This window comes from Homo sapiens, chromosome 15 (assembly GCF_000001405.40).
Source record: "Homo sapiens chromosome 15, GRCh38.p14 Primary Assembly".
NCBI lineage: Eukaryota > Metazoa > Chordata > Mammalia > Primates > Hominidae > Homo > Homo sapiens.
The window spans coordinates 98,936,816-98,953,956 of NC_000015.10; the positions used below are offsets into that span (position 1 = coordinate 98,936,816).

Consider the following 17,141-nt stretch of genomic DNA (forward strand, 5'->3'; position numbering starts at 1 on the left):
CCAGCACCCCTGGGTGTTAGTGCCTCTTCCTGGTTCACTCACTCACTTTCTCTGGCCCTCTCTGTGTCTCTGTCACTCTCTTTCTTTCGAGATGGAGTTTTGCTCTGTTGCCCAGGCTGGGGTGCAGTGGCATGATCTCAGCTCACTGCAACCTCCACCACCTGGGTTCAAGCGATTCTCCTGCCTCAGTCTCCCAAGTAGCTGGGATTACAGGTGTGTACCACCACGCCCACCTAATTTTTGTATTTTTAGTAGAGACGGGGTTTCACCATGTTGGCCAGGCTGGTCTTGAACTCCTGACCTCAGGTGATCCACCCACCTCAGCCTCCCAAAGTGCTGGGATTACAGGTGTGAGCCGCTGCGCCTGGCCCTTGGTTCACTTTAATACACAAAACAGCATGAAGGAGAAAAGCTTGATGAAATAGGTGACTGGAGATCTGGCAGAGTATTTCTTGCCAGCATCGATTGAGGCACCTCTGAAAAGTCCAAAACTCACTCCCTTCCTCCCCAGTTTCAGGCACAGAATAAAAATTCAGAACACATGGCCTTGGTCCTGGCTCTGCGGCTGGCTGCCTGTGGTCCTCAGACAGCCGCTGCAGGTTCCTGGGCCTCAGTGTCCTCAATATAAAATAAGAGGGTGGGACAAGATTACTGAAGTCCCTTTCAGAACTAAAATTCACCTTTAGATTGGTCAGATTTAAACTTTTTCTTTCTAGCTCATGTCAAGTATTAAAATGTGTGCACTTACCCTGCAGTTTCATTATATTCAACCTGCTCCCCCGACCAAGTTTCACTTACGTATCTCACTACGAGTAGGTGTATATGTATACTTGTCTTAAATAGCTCTAACCAAATTAAAGGAAAGAATGGCAGTGTAACACCATGAACTGACAAAATTTCAGCCCTCTGTCTTTCTCCATGCTTAAAGTTGAGTGCTTTTGTTGATTCTGTTGCTCACGGCAATTATAAATGACCACTTCATAACACATATAGGTCATACTGTAATATTTAAGAATTGTGAGCATAAACTTTACATTTCATGTGCATATTTCCTCATGCATCACACGTATCTAAAGCCCTGAAAAGTAGTGATTTGGACTTACCCCCAGTGACTTAATGTTGCTTCCCCAGATAACCACGTGATAAGTGTTTTAAGTCACCAAGAGACAGCTTTGACAGCCTGTTCAGAATTCAAAGGTTTGTGTCACCAAGTGTAGAGAACCAACCCAGAAGTACCGAGGAGTTGTTATAATGATTCCAAATACTAGCTTTCAGTAGAAACTAGCACCTCACAGGGCAGCAGCCAGCATCCACTGGGCATTGACTATGTGCCACGCACCACTGGGCACTTTCTGTGCGTGGCCCCAGGTCATCTTCTCGTCAGTGAAACCACTGTGATACCCCATGTGGAAAAGCCTGGGCATGCTCAGCTGGTGGCCGGCCTGCAAGTGTGGGACCTGTCAGAGCCCTATGGCTTTGCAGTGCTGTGTGAGATGCTTTGTGGTCAAGAAAACCAAGGTGTAGAGTCTGTTGCACTTGTATATGCAAAAGTAAAAGGTAACATTAAAATTAGGGACTAGTGATTGTTTTAGGATGGAGAGACTTGGGCATGTGTTTTATATAAAACTTTTTTCTAAATGGATGTATTATTTAAGGGTAATTCTTTTTAATTCCAAAGCCAGCACGTTGCTGTCCTCTGCAAAGAGGAATGCTTATCCCTGTTACTTATTCCTGGTTTCCTCCAAGACTAGTTTCAGCTGGACTTCAGTTGCCAAGGACTTGTCTTCCGTAATGCCGACAGAAAATAATAATGCCACATTGTAAGGTGAAAACAGTAATCCTGGTATTTTTGTATTTTAGAAGAAGGTTGAAGGGAAAGAAAAGGATTAAATAATTTATAACGATGCTCTTATGGGAAATAAAATATACCATGTCCATTTGGAAACACATTTGCTTACTTCCACACAGCCTTTGTAACGTGCTCTCCTTCCTCTTACCTGTACTTCGGTGATGGAAATAAAAGGAACATATAAACAAATAGGAATTTGAGTAACTGAGAATCCTTACTACCAAAAATGGCTTGTTTCACTTTAAAAAAATGTTGCCCTACCCAAAATAGAAAATGTTGGTCCTAAAGAGTGCAAATTGGTGTTTCCCTCACCAGCTCTGATGTGGTCAGGGAGCAAGTGCAAATAAGCTTGCGGGGAGCAAGCAGGTGCCATGCTCTCCATGATGGTTTGTTCCTTCCGAGCAAGTCCTGGTTTCTTAGCATAAACAACCCACGGTGCCCAGATTGAACAAAGATGATATGCAAACCTCGAAAGAAATTGGCATGGAAAAAAAAAATCCAAAATTCTCATGTGAATTTTTTTAAATCTCCAACAGAATAATCCAGTCCTAGCACCTCCAAGCCTGAGCAAGATGATTCAGATGGCCGGAGAGATTGCAGACGGCATGGCATACCTCAACGCCAATAAGTTCGTCCACAGAGACCTTGCTGCCCGGAATTGCATGGTAGCCGAAGATTTCACAGTCAAAATCGGAGGTGTGTCCTTAGCTTTCCAGGTCTGGGCAAGAACTAAACTCAGGTGTTTTGAGGACTTTGTTGGCATTAGTCTGCCCCTGGAGAGGTTTTCTAGTGTGTCCCTTGAGTGCACGGACTCCTTCTTGGGAATGATGTGATTGTCTCCAGTTGATGGTCACAAACCTGGCACGGTCGGTCCCAATGCTGATAGCTCATGGACATGGTGGTTCAGATACTGGGCACGGTCCCTGAGGCTGGCTCTCCAGACGTTTGAGGCATTTCTTGGTAGAACACCTCTTAGCATTGGTTACAGAAATAATTAAGACAATGTCTTCAGGAGATTTTGACTTGGGAATAAAACTCACTGTCCAACCTTGCATTCATCCCTCCAATTTTCCTAGCTTTTAAGGAGCATTGCTCCCCTTCCAGGGACCCACATTGGTTTCTAAGAGGCAAGCTGCCCTAATGACGAAGCCTCTGCACGGAGCAGGAGCAGTGGCAGGAGCTGGCATGGCAGTCCCTTAGGTGAGGGACGATCACTGCTCACTGGGTTTCACGGCTGGGGCTGGCCAGCCTCCAAGCTCTCGACCACTCTCTCACAACACTTACTGTCCTGCTCTTAGCTCACCAGCCTACTGGTTAGACTCCCTTGTTGCCACCACCCACTGTCACACCAGAAAAAAGGGTTGGATTGAATTTCTGAGCAATGGTTAAAACCCACTTCAGCCTTTAGGTTTGTGTTTTTACTTCGGTCTTTTAATCTGCCTAATAAAAACACACATAACATCAGGGCTGCTCAGGAAACCACCTGCTTTTACCAGGATTCTCATCTTCCCACTATGATACAATGATAGTTTAGAAAAATACCAAATATTTATCCTGAGAAACTGCAGGGGAGATTTAACACCCAAAAGAAGCTATTTCAAATGGACCTCTGTGTCTAGTTCTTGAACTGCCTTTTCTGGAAGTGTTCACCTTCCTTTAGTAACATATTTTTTTCCTTTAGTAGTGATGTTTTAATGAAATGTTTTAGCCCCTTTGGTGAACAATGAGAATCTTTTAGAGAACGGTTTCTTTTTTTGAGACAGAGTTTTGCTCTTGTTTTCCAAGCTGGAGTGCAGTGGCACAATCTTGGCTCACCACAACCTCCACCTCCCAGGTTCAAGTGATTCTCCTGCCTCAGCCTCCTGACTAGTTGGGATTACAGGCGCGTGCCACCACACCCAGCTGATTTTTTATATTTTTAGTAGAAACAGGTTTTCATCATGTTAGCCAGGATGGTCTTGAACTCCTGACCTCAGGTGATCCACGCACCTCGGCCTCCCAAAGTGCTGAGATTACAGGCGTGAGCCACCACACCCAGCTGAGAATGGTTTCTAAAGTAGGGGTGAGTGTCTTTCTTTTTACTCTGTAGGAGCTAGAGGTATTGAAATGGAACCATATCCCAGAGCCCACATCCCTCCGTCATCAGAGTTCCTCATTCAGGATCCACCAGTGTGTCCCTAGGTTTGGCACGTTGAGACGTCCTCACGTTTGGTGCTCTGTGAAGCTGGGCAGCCCTCAGAGAGGCAAAGAAGTCCCAAGAGGCCGTCCTGCCTCAGGGCTCTCAGGAAAGAGCCGCCCGCGTCCCTGGCTGGGCTTCCTTGGTGCACCCAGCTCATTTCTCCTTCCCTCTCTGTAGAACTCACATTGTCCCCGTGGAAATGCCAGCCAGCTCCCCTTTCCCAGTGCAGGGGGGAGCCAGGTGGGCCTGAGGTGGGCCAGTTCTGCCGCTAATGGGTGAGAGACTTGGGCCAGGTGCCTTACATCCGGGAGCCTCAGTTTCCTCACCTCGGAAATAGGGTGATAATGTAACAGACCCCATGGGGTTATGAGAAGGACTTGGTGCAGGAAAGCAGCAGCACGTGCCTGGCACAGGGCAGGGCCTCTCCAGATGGCAGTTCCTGTCTGTGTCTTATTCCCACCCTCCGGGCACATGGGGGGAACTCAGTTTCTCCCCACTGCGCGTCACCCTGGGAGAGGTGTTTTTTGTGCCAATTGCCATTTTAAATCCAAATCAGCAGGGATCATGTTTGCTGTTCAACCATGTGGCATATTTATAGTGATTTTTTTTGTAATCATGGTTTTTCTTTCTGGAATTTCAAGTTTTTCATTTGTGCTGAGGAAGGTCGTTTGTGTTTTTTAATAGGATTCCTTCTTTTCCACCTTGTGCAAGTAAAGGCAAATCCCCTATTTGCATGTCACTGTATTAATTCACAGATAACACTTTCACACTTCATTTTTATTCTTCTCAAGGGCTCAAGATGTTTTCCCAATGCCCAGCGTCTCATGGATGACAAATATGACAAGTAATTTTACCAGAGGCAGTTTGAGGGCTCTTAGCATAGCACAAGTAAATTATGTTGGTTCAAGTCCAAGGAACTTTGTTCTCTTTGTGTTTGCTTTTGTAGCCTTACCTCTTTGGGGCATGAGTTAGAGACATACATGAGCATTTTAAAGTGGAGCAGCCCTTTCTCCTGGGAAGGAGAACGGAAGAGTCCACTTAAGAAAAGGTTGTATGATTGAGTGCAAAATCAAAATCTGACAAAGCAGCAATAATTTAGGATTATAAAGCGAGCCTGCCATCAAACATAATTATGTGGCATCTTCTGGAGACATGGAAAATGGAAGAAATTTTCAAAAATGAGTGGGAGGATTATGTTGAAAAACAGTATTGAGTAATAGCTTCAGGGGCCTCGTAAATAGCATCTTTTCGGCATCTTACTGGGTACTTTTGTCATCATGAATTGTTACCCTGAATATTTTCCCCCTTATTAAGCAGTGAAATTATTTACTTTTCTCCAGTGGTGGGGCAGTGCTACCAAGTTAAGTAAGCATCTGTACTCTCCTGTTTATTTGGTCAGGTTTTAAAACCATGTGTAAATGACCAGTGGTCTCTGCAGTACTATATATTTTCTTAAATTGTGGGACTCTAATTTTTACACCGCTTCCTTTTTTCTTATTTTTATTTTCAAGACAGGTTCTCACTCTGTCACCCAAGCTGGAGTGCAGTGTTGTGATCATGGCTCACTGCAGCCTCAACCTCCAGGGCTCAAGTGATTCTTCCACCTTAGCCTCCCAAGTACCTAGGAACACAGGCGCACACCACCACTCACAACTGACTAATTTTTAAAATTTTTTATACAGACAGGGTCTTGCTGTGTTGCCCAGGCTGATCTTGAATTCCTGGGCACAGGCGATCTTCCTGTCGTGGCCTCCCAAAGTGCTGGGATTACAGGCGTTGAGTCACTGCGCTCAGCCTGCCTCTCATTTAAATGCAATAAGGGCATTAACTTCCTAAGGGAATCAAATTGTAAATATATTAAAAGTGGAGATTGCTTGGTATTTGCTCATCATGTGATTAATCATCCCTTACTGTCTCCACCTTATAAAATTGCAAACCCTAATATTTGGCCACCTTAAAGTGGGACGTGTCTGTGTCTTGCCTTGCGTCTCTCCACACATAATGAGTGTAGGGTCCTCTGCTGTGACAGCAGTGGTGCCTGCTCCAGCGTGTGACTCTGCGCCCTCTCTTCCCTTACAGATTTTGGTATGACGCGAGATATCTATGAGACAGACTATTACCGGAAAGGAGGGAAAGGGCTGCTGCCCGTGCGCTGGATGTCTCCTGAGTCCCTCAAGGATGGAGTCTTCACCACTTACTCGGACGTCTGGTATGAGAACCTTTACTGCATTGCCAGCCTGGAGCCCCCAGCCTCTGCACTTTCCACCAGCTCAGTCTCTAGGGCTTTATCTTTCTCTGTTCATTGTTACCCGTTGCCAGCTTTAGCTCAGTGTTGTGTGAGCCACACTTCTTCATCATTGAGGTGTTCCTGTTGTCAGTGGGCTAGCTAAGGGCAGAAGGGCATTCGTGGGATTTTAAAGAATTTATGGGACCAACATTCTTTCCGCCTTCAGCAGATACCGATTATGTTTCCAGGAGGTGGGATGTGCCAGAAGCCGTCACCTCTTTTTGTTTCTCCCCTGCCTGCCTTCTTTCTCTTTTCCTCTTTCTCAATAAACAGATACTGTCTGTGTGTCTGCCTCACCTAATCTAACCCTCAGATTGCAGACAGTGCTTTATTTAGACCCAAAGCTTATGAGTCCTGATTGTGTTTTCCTGCTGGTCCCATCTGCTGTCTGTCTTTCAGTGGGCATCCACCGTTGTGGACCCAGGGATGGTTATGGGAAGCAAAACGTCTCCCTTAATCATAAACAGTGTCTACCAGTGGAAGCCCATCGACCGAGGGATCAGAGGCCTCTCAGTAGTATTGTTTATTGCAGTTCCTTGGCAACATTGCAGAGAGGCAGTCAGGTTCTGAAATACAACTGAGGTTATTGGCAGGCTGAGGCCCTGGCACAGGCACCTTCTAGAATATCAGCTAGTGTCTTGGCTTTCCTCTGGGGGGATCCCGTTGCTGTTGTGTTACAGAAATGGTAGTTGTTTACTCCAACAGTCTGGATGACCGCATAGAGGAACTATTTCAATAGTGACTGACATCATTTTTTTTTTAACCTCGTAAACCTTTCACAGTTCAGGGGCCTTGGATCTTATTTTGAAGACAGGTGCAAATTGGAAATAGCATTTGAATATGACCCGGCAAAGCATGATTGCTTCTTAAGCTCAAGTATGAGATCTGTTTTGCAATCAGCTTGTCCAAGATGGTTATCTCTTCACTGTCAAATCAAAGTGCTCTGCATGGTGTTTAGAGATTGGGATGGTGAGGAGAGAGCAAGCCTGGGTATGTGCATGCATCTGTTTATTCTAGGCTTCGTGCCTCCAGGAGCTTGGAGGTCAGCTTGTAGTATAATAAAATAGAAAACTATACAGCCGGGGAGAACAGAAGCAGAATAGAAGGATAAAGTGTTGTTCATATCTCTCGGGCAAATTTTACCCAAATTCTGACGAGCAGTTACTGCACAAGCAACAACAAAGGGACCTAGAGTGTGTTCATTGCCAATTCTGTCCATTTGGCTACATAACTACTGTGAACCAATACAAAAAGATATGTATAAACATGAATAGGCGTTTGGTATTCATTCCATGAAATGCTCAGGCATTGACAGCGCTTCAGGTTTTGTTTGCTTTTTAACACAGGCTTTGAGGATAGCACAGGTCAGGAAGGCTAGGGCGTTGGAGCAGGTTTCTCAGCGGTCCAGGCTCTAAACTAAAGCTGTCCCTCTCAAAAGAATGGAAATGATTTCAGATTGTATTCAGCAGCACGAAGCAATGATTCCTAAATAGTTAAAAATCTAGAAAGAAACACTAAGAATTGTATTGGGCTTTGTAGAAGAGACCCCAGAATTTTAGGATTTGGGATGTATCCCTGCAGTCAGGCCCAGTCCCCAGTGCACCTGCAGATCTTTGACAGCTGCTGGTTGAGCTTCTGCTAAGAGGTTTCCTTCCAGGGACTCCATGTTCACTGCCTCACAAAGGCAGGCCAGCCTCATGCTTTAGACATCCTTGCTCTTAGCAAATCTTTCGTGTTCTGCTACGTCAGCCTCTGTGTGACACCCATTGGACCTTCTCTCTGTAGCACAATTGCATACCTTGCTCTGTTCTTGATAAGATAGGTCTAGGAGTCATCGAAGAGGTGTGTCTGTTCTAGCCAGAACACCTCCAAGTTTCCTGCTGTCTTCCAGGACTTCATTCCCAGGCCCTTGGGCACTGTGGCTGCTCTCCCTGCAGCTCCCTGTAGCACCATGTCCCTCTGAAATGACAAGGGTGCCCTCTAGGCATGGAGGAAACCAGACGAAGGACTGGGGAGCTGCACCCCACAGCCTAGAGCTGTGCTTCTTCCCGAGCATCTGGATCACCCAACACATAATCTTTATTTTTTATTAAGAAGCTTTCCAAATAGTCACAAATAGCCAAGGTTATTTGCTTCTTTCATGACTAATTACCATCTGTGGGGAATGTGGATTTCTCTGTAGGTTTTAATTTGCTGGTGAGTGGGCCATTGCTACCATCCCCTCCTGGTGTGGGGAAGTATAGTTACTGAATGCTGCCTCCAGCCAGCACGGGCATTGCAGGGGGACTCACAGCCGCCGGTCTTCCCCCTGGGGAAACAACGTCAAGGTTCCTAATTAGAAAGGGCTTTACACAGAGACATGTATCTACTGTTTGAAGATTAAATCTGTCCATGAAATGGAAGACTTGATTTTATATGAAGTCATGAAGAGCCAACACCACATAGTAAAATACCGGCTTTGAAAAACACAGAGGTGTTGCATATTTCTCGGTGCTTCTGACTGGCTGTGTGGCCTTGGTTAAACCTCAGAGCTTCTCTGGCCTTCGGTTGCTCCATCTGTAAGGCAAGGTCTGTCTCGAGAAGTCTGCGGTACCTGAATAGATGTTGAAATGGCTCCTGTGGCAACTGGTATTGTGTAGAGATGGTTCAGTGTCCACACCTTGCAGTTGTCACATTAAGCTGTGAAGGACGACTGACTCTAGCACTCAGTGGTCCTCAGTGGCAGGTGATGTTGACCTCAGACAAGAGTTGCTCAGGAGATAGGCTTTGCAGTTCACCTCGACAAGCGTTTGTGGAGAGCTAGGTCTGCTACCTCCTGTATCGTTGCCTGTGGGTGATGGTAAGGCTCTTGGGGGTGTGGAAGATGCGGGGATGATGATGATGACGATGATGACGATGACGACGATGACAGCGTCGTCGTCGTCCTGGTCCTGGAAGGATAAAGTCTTGTGGAGAAGAGGAGGCAATTCTGACAGTTTGGGGTTGCATCATCTTCTTCACAGAAGAGATGAAGTTGTGTAGGCACCCTAAGTATGGATTGTCACAAAAAGAGCACTAGGAAGCGGGGCGGGGCGGGGCAGGGGTGGGGGGTTCCTGGCAGTGGGAATGCTGGGCAGGCATGGCAGTAGGGAGCACCTGCTGCAGGTGGGGTTGGTGAGGTTTCCTCGTGGGACTTAGGCTGCAGAGAGATCAAGACAGGCCTCAGCTGTTGTATTAGGCATCCTGGACTAATTCTTTAAGCCCTGTTAAGGTTTCTGAACCAGAGGGTGATTAGAGCTGTGCTTGAAGTTCTTGTTAGCCGGAGTATACAGCTGCATTGAGCAAGATGTTGTAACCAAAGGAGAGGTGGTGGTGGGCCAGGCAAGCAGGATCCTGCACACTCAGGGAGCTCTGAGGGACGGAAGGAGGGTGCCAGACCTTGGACAGATGTGAGCCTGGGTGGACAGTTCGCAGTGGGACTCCGAGGAGGCCAAGGGCATGGGTGACAGCAGGCAGACTGCTCGGGTGGAATGGGCATCAGCTGCAGGGAAGCCGGGGGAAGAACAGGGCACAAATCGGAGTTCAGTGTGAGACGCAGTGAGTTTGTGGGTAGCCCAGTAACTGGGAACTTGGAATGGAGCAGTTGGGCCGGGAGGGCCAGGGTGGGAGCCGTGCCGTGAGAACTGGCTGCCTGCAAGCCGCTGACACAGCCAGGAAGGGCACGTGGGGCAAGAGGAGAAGTGGGTCTGGGAGGGAGCCACATCCTCAGGCCATTTCCCAGACCAGCCTGCAGTCAGCAAAAGCAGAGAGCTAGTCATTTCTTCTTATTTTATTTTTAATTTTTTGTTGTTGGAGAGCTAGTCATTTCTTGTACCAAGCTGCATTTCAGATGTGTGGGTACTACTGCCACTGGCATCTGAGGCATGCTGCCTGTATGGCTGGGCTGGTTGTGGAAGGCAGAGCTTCCCGCACAAAGCTGATGGAGAGCCCCTTCTCCCCTGGGCCCAGGCCTCTCTAAACTGCACTTTTGGCCTCTGGGTGTCTTGTACAACATGAAGACGACAGCATTTCTTGGTCACTTGTAATTAAAAAGGACCTTGGGTTGGTCTGTCCTCTGATTGCTAAGATTCTATTTCTGTCTAACATCTACTTTTAGTATCAATTTGTACAAAAATCTTTGATTCACCGAAAGTAGCTGAAGCAGCGAATAAAACGTTCTCATACAGTCAGGAGCACTGTGGGCTTGGGCACAAGGTCAAGGTCCCAAGAGCTCTTGGTTGGAAATCTCCTGCCCCAGGTTTTTCCATGTGGCTTGACCAGCACCTGCAGCCCAGGACAGGTCCAGCTAGAATCCCTGCTCCCCACCCTGCTCCCGCCCCTACTTGGTGATGAGTAGCCTATTTTACTCCACCAAAGTGAACCACATGGAAAGGCACACAGGTCAGGGAGAATTTGTGAATTACGGAATTTGCCCTGGGAGGGCACATTTGTTTTGCAGATTCCAGCATTGTCTTTTTTAACATTCTGTCTGAAAGTTGTGTGTGTACTCTCTGTTTTGTTTTCCAGTGGTTTGATCTTCTAAACTGGCAAAGCTGCATGCATATGGCAGAATTGCTCACTACAAAGTTATTCCTCAGCCAACTTCTCTGCTTAAGGATTCTTTGTCCATGATACCCCCTCCCAGCCAGTGCAGCCCACCCTGGTCCCCCCACCTGTGACACAGAGGCCCTGCAGGCCAGCAGCTCCCCAGCTCTGTTGTGGGTGGGGGAGCAGCAGGAGTTCTCTTCTCCCTTGGCCCAACTGGACCTCAAGATCCCTATAGATCTTCTAAACATTCCAGGTCCCAGGCCCTCACCCCAGACCAATCAAATCAGAGTTTCTATTGGGTGCCCAGCCCTCTGTTTAAAAACCTCCCCAGGAGATTCTCCTGTGCAGCCGGCAGTGAGAACCACCTGGGTAGAGGTTTCCAAAATTGTCTGATTGTAAAAATCACCTGAGGAGCTTGGTAAAGCTTGACTGTCCCAGGCCTCATTTGAGGCTACTAAGTCAATGTCCAGGCTGGGGCTTGGACAAGAATGTCATTCTTTTTGGGTCAAAGCCAGGTTAGGTGATACCGCCTTGCCAGATAAATGGCCGGGACTAGGTAGATGCTGAACCCAGTATGCTCTGCGTTCAAAGCACAGATCAGGGGCTTCCTGACCGTGCAAGGGATGCCGGAAGCGCCCTCACCACCTTCCTTAGCTCCACCACCGGGGCTGAATTTAGTTTACGGGGAACATTAGCAGCAACAGAGGGAGGATGATATCCCGCACTTAGCCCAGGGCCTGGCTCGCTGTCTGACAAGCACTGTCACCATAGTAAGGACAGTTTATCTGCTCGGGATGTAAGAAGTGCTGGAAAGGAGGGGGCAGCATTGTTCAGTCCATCCCTTTCCAAGCTCCTCACAGTTTTTTTCTCCCTGTAGGTCCTTCGGGGTCGTCCTCTGGGAGATCGCCACACTGGCCGAGCAGCCCTACCAGGGCTTGTCCAACGAGCAAGTCCTTCGCTTCGTCATGGAGGGCGGCCTTCTGGACAAGCCAGACAACTGTCCTGACATGCTGTACGTACTTCCTGGGCCCTCCGTGCTCTTCTGAGTTCTCTTCTCAAATACCTGTTTTCTTGGGTCACAGGAGATTAGGAGATTAAAGCCATTCTCTCTGGTCCTGCGCCTCCCTTGCCAGGCGTGGCTAAGAGGTTTGTCCTTGTGGAAGGAGCTGAGTGGGTTGGTCGACCTGTGCTTTTCCGTGGGTACCTTAATTCTACCCCATATTCCGTAATGCTTTCGTTCCGATTTGCAGTTCACACTGTAGTTTCTCAGGCCAAATGTCTCTGTGAAATGTTTGGCCAGAGTAATCCATCCTTACTCATCCTCTCCATGTGAGGTTTTTGTTTCTTTTTAAAGAAGGCTACAACACAACACATACTACTCTGAAGTCGAATTCAAGAGCCCCGCGCCCCACCTGTGGCAGGCCTGAGGGAGCCGCCGCAGTGAGTGTGCACACAGCTGCATGGCCAGGACTCCGGCATGCACCACGTAGGGTCAGCTTGGTGTCTTCTGAACCCTGCCCCACATGTCTTCTCTGTTAAGTGTTTACAAAAGTCATAAACCATCTAAGTAACATGCTCTCCGGAGCTTCATCCGCTGACCAATGTGGACCTGGAGCGTGTGTGAGCTGACATCCCTGCGGACAGAAGGATGCCAGTGCTGGTGAATTTGTCTTCTCACTGCACTTTTTTTTTTTTTTTTTGAGATGGAGTCTCGCTCTGTCGCCCAGGCTGGAGTGCATTGGCGTGATCTTGGCTCACTGCAACCTCTGCCTCCCGGGTTCAAGCAATTCTCCTGCCTCACCCTCCAAAATAGCTAGGATTACAGGCACCCACCACCACTCCCAGCTAATTTTTAGTAGAGATGGGGTTTTACCATATTGGCCAGGCTGGTCTTGAACTCCTGACCTCAGATGATCTCCCCGCCTCAGCCTCCCAAAGTGCTGGGATTACAGGCATGAGCCATCGCACCTGGCAACCCCACTTATTTTGAAAAAACACTTTGCAGCTTTTAGTCCTAAGTTTTGTCAGATGACGAGAGAGAGTTTGTGATGCCTCACAGTGTTGGTGAGGCCTCTCTGCTCAGCGCCCCCTGGAGAAGCCCCCCTTTTGGTGGAGGACTTGCTCTGTGTCCGTGGACGGTGCTGTTTTGTGGCTCAGTGGAGGTCAGAGCTGCTGGAGCAGGGAGGCCTTGTTGTCCTTCCTGGAATGAGTTTGAGGAGGGGGTGAAGGTGTTCCAGTTCAGTCATCAGGCGCACAACAGGTACAGGTTGGGAGCAGTGGCCTTGCTTTTGACATGCACTTTAAGGCAGGCTTCAGAGATTGATCTGGATCTCCATAGCTGAACAGGAAGGTGGGCTCCCACTAGTATCTCAAGACCAATTCAGGAGATTTCCAGAAATGCTTTTCAGGACAGGTTTGGCTTCATTTTGGAAAGGATCCTGAGGAATTGCTGGGCTGTTATGTCTGCATGAAGGCACCCAGCTCCTATCTCTCACCCATCCACCCCCCTGGAGCCAGCACAGACTCAGGCTGGGCCCACAGTGGCGGGATAATAGATAGATATGAACCAGACATGTGTCAGGTGGACAGGAGGGAATGAGGGCTCCAGCAGCCACAAAAGTTTTGCTCATTTGGTCTCCTACAGTGTCTGTGGGCCAGGAATCCAGATGCAGGTGTTCTTGCTCTCAGCTCAGAGTCACAGGAGGCAGAAATCAAGATGTCAGTGGGGCTGCAGTCTCACCTGAGGCTCAGGGACATCTTCAGGCTCCTTCAGGGTTCTGCACTTGCAGGACTGAGGTCCCCATATTCTTGGCACCTGTCAGCTGGGGACTGCTTTCAACTCTTGGAGGCCAAGGCCACTCACAGTCCTTGCCATATACAGCCTCCATAGGCCCTCTCATAACAGCAGCCTATTTCTTCAAGACTGATAAGAGGACAGCTCTCTACTGCTTCTACTGGTTTTTTACCTGATAAAGTCAGATCTACCCAGGATACTCTCTCCCTTTTAAGTGATTCACAGTCAATTGATGAGAAGCCTGATTAGAGGAGTGAAGTATCCTCTCATGTTCACAAGTCCCACCCGTACTCAAGTGAGGGGATTATATGGGATATTTACACCAGGGGCAACGATCTTGGGGGGCATCTTAGAATTCCATAGTCTCAGAAATCATTGTCCCTAATCAAACAATCAAGGTGCTATTTTTGTTTCAAAGCACTTTGAGTGTTGCTACAAATACTGAATCCCTAAGCTCCTTGTAAATGGCCGGCCAGCGGAGGGCATGGGGTGGGGAAGACTGGATACACACCCCTGTGCTCTGGGAGTACGTTGGCTGGGCGGCATGCTCATTAGCTGCTGCTTCCGAACATAGGTTCAGCTGAAGTGTATCCCAGGCAGTGGACACTTCGTGTGGAATTCAGAAAGGTGGCGCAGGAAGGATACCAGGGAAAGCCAGAGTGAAGGCATCACCCTTGCACAGCTAGCACATGTGGGGGCTCCCATTGTCCCATCAAGGCAGGGCCAGAACCAGAAAGTCGGCTGGTGCCCTGGGCCTGGGCCAGTGATGGGAGGCTCCTCTTCTCTGAGGGTGGCACCTACAGATGCAGTGGCACTGGGTTTCCTGGAGCCCTCATCAAGGAAACTTCCCAGCATGGCCTCTTCAGAACTCCACAATCCAAACTTGGAAGAGACTCGAAAGACCACTTAGTACCTTTTCTTGCCCAGTATAGAAATTCTTCTTCTCCCCTTCTGTGTTAGTTTTTTATCGCAGTATAACAAACTACCCAAAACCTACTAGTTAAGAGCAACAGTAAACATGTATTATCTCTCAGAGGTTTCTGAAGGCGAGGAACGCAGGAGCGGCATAGCTGGCTGGCTCTGGCTTGGAGCCCTTCTCGCGGTTGCAGCCCAGCTGTCCGCCGGGGCTGCAGTCATCTGAAGGCTTGCCTGGGGGAGGCAGACCCACTTCCAAGGTGTTGCTGCATAGGTAGTATGCCCTGCATGAATCGCCCTGTTCTACGTGGGCCTCTCCGTAGCACTGCCCAAGTGTCTCAGGATGTGTAGCTGGCTTCTCTGAGTGCAGAGTTCGGCACACTCTTTCTCTAAAAGGCCGGCTAAAAAAATGTTTTTGGCTCTGTGGGCCCATACGACCTTGACTGTGACTACTGGACTCTGCCACTGTGGAGCAAACACAGCTGTGGGCGTCACATAAGCTAGCGTGGCTGTGTTCCAATACAGCTTTATTTTTAATACTGGAATTTGAATTCCACATCATCCCTGTGTTGTCACAAAATATTCTTATTTTGAATTTCTTTTAGCCATTTACATGAAAACCATTCTTAGCTCATAGACCTTGGAAAACTAGGCAGCAGGCCAGATTTTACCCACAGGTACATAGTTTGCCTGCTGTGCCCTAGAGTAAAAGATCCAGGACCTGAGCAGAAGGCACGACGTCCTTTCTGACCAAACCTCAGAAGTCACACTGAGGCTCTCACCTTCTCCTTCAGGTTACACCATGTGAGAGTCAATCACGTGGGGATGTGAGCTCCAGGACACAGGGGAGAGGACCACTGGGGATCCGGGAGCCTGGCTACCCCCCAGTACCCCACCAACACACACACACACACACACACACACACTGCCCCTCACAGGTGACCATCTGCTCCACACTTTGAGCAGCGCAGCCACTGTTTTCTTGCCAGCCATTATGAGAAAAATCATGCTTTCAAGTCTGAATATAAGCCATGGAGTAAGAGGTCTGATGACCACTGAATCTGCATAAAGGTACAGTGCTAGAATCTAGGCTAATACTAGAACTGGTGGTATTTTAGCAAGCTTAGAAACAGCCCATGAAAGCAGGTGTGAGTTCTGCTTCTGTGGTTTAGGGTGGGTGAGGGAGAGCGGTATTGTTCTGTGCTTTCTCTTTGACTCGGGTAAACGTTTATCTACAAGAGACTTGTGGGATTCTTACTTGGTCCACCTCCAGGTGACTGGGCTTTTACTATTAATGTAAACTGCCTGGGACGCAGCCCCTGCCATGGGAAACGCAGGGCACTTCCTGTTCTCAGCATAGAGTGACAAGGAAATTTACTCAGAGCGGTTACTCTGACATTCAATGTTTAGTTCAGGAGGCATTTCTGCTTTGCCATCGAGAATTTTTCTCCCTTCTAAGAAAATGTTTTCTCCTGAGAAAATTTTTCTCCCTTCCAAGAAAAGAGTAGAATGAAAGGAGGCAACTTGGTTTCATAGGGAGTGTCATGTTGTCCTTCTGAGTTTACTGATGAGCTTACCTGAGAAAGGAGGGTTCTAGCATGGGAGTTCTGTTGCTACAAGACATGAAAGAATGGCCTCCGTTTATCCCGGAGAGGAGAGTCCCTGAGCCCTTGGGAGTTGCCTTGAAACCTCTGCCGGGTCCCAGGTGAGAAAGTGTGTGAGTTGTGTGGTTCTGAGATCTGAACAGGCACCATCTGGTGACACTAGGGGCTGAAGGAGCTCGGTGGCTGCAGGTGGACTGGAGCTCACCATCAGGAAGTAGCCAGATTCTCACCCCTCAGTGTCACCGAGTGTTCTGGCTTTAGAGGAAGGACTCCGTGGTCCCCAAGCCACAAGGTGTCGAGGTCTGAGTCTCAACGCCATGACTCAGTGTGAATTAACTTAGCAGGTATCACAACATCAGATTTGGGTTGTGGTTCCCTGCTGGGTCTGTACTTTAGATTGATGACAAAGCCCGTCCTCAGCCTTATTTCAGCCCAGATCTCGGTATTTATGCCACAGATACTGTTGAGCTCCTCTGGGTGCGTGCTGACCCTGAGGTCACACAGATGAGCCAGGAGTGGCCCTGGCTTTCAGGAAACGTAGTGACGTAAAAGGTCCCGGCTGCTGCGGGATAAGGGCCAGGGCAGAGGTGTGAACGCAGCCGTGGAAGACTTGGGCCAGGAAGCCATTTGTTCTGCTGCTAACACTTCCACAGCTCCACGTGTCCAGACTGTTGCCAGAGACGTCTTTGGTCTACAGGATTCAGGAGGGAATCTGAACTTTAGCCTGGAGCATTATCAACTCATAGATGAGTCTGAAACAAACTTAGTGAAATCTGATGTTTTTTGTAGTTTTCCAGTACAGTTTTTCCCATCGCTGGAATCCTGGTTTGGTTCTGCGGGAATCGAGTGCTTGAGTGGGACCCAGACAGACAGGAAGGGCGCTCCTGCTCAGTTAGCCCCAGTAAGCTCACTGAGGCACACAGGCCCCATGTCCACAGCCGCTCCTG

At 48.3% G+C, this 17,141-nt stretch overlaps 1 protein-coding gene across 9 annotated transcripts in view, besides 2 other annotated features; it reads left to right on the forward strand.

Moving 5' to 3' along the window:
- The window catches only part of IGF1R (insulin like growth factor 1 receptor), a 315,992-nt gene that overhangs the window by 288,277 nt on the left and 10,574 nt on the right, over positions 1-17,141 (forward strand). For all 9 annotated transcript variants that reach the window (NM_000875.5, XM_047432443.1, NM_001291858.2 and 6 more), the window contains 3 exons: positions 2,386-2,545; positions 6,108-6,237; positions 11,759-11,893. In NM_000875.5, the coding sequence (NP_000866.1) occupies positions 2,386-2,545; positions 6,108-6,237; positions 11,759-11,893 (425 nt within the window). The remainder of the gene's footprint in view (positions 1-2,385; positions 2,546-6,107; positions 6,238-11,758; positions 11,894-17,141) is intronic.
- Positions 664-713: an enhancer, noted in NCBI's record as "active region_10143". NCBI's record gives its function as "activates an Ori minimal core promoter by ATAC-STARR-seq in GM12878 lymphoblastoid cells {active_cell/tissue: GM12878}" and the evidence as "EXISTENCE:reporter gene assay evidence [ECO:0000049][PMID:35858748]".
- Positions 1,124-1,223: an enhancer, noted in NCBI's record as "active region_10144". NCBI's record gives its function as "activates an Ori minimal core promoter by ATAC-STARR-seq in GM12878 lymphoblastoid cells {active_cell/tissue: GM12878}" and the evidence as "EXISTENCE:reporter gene assay evidence [ECO:0000049][PMID:35858748]".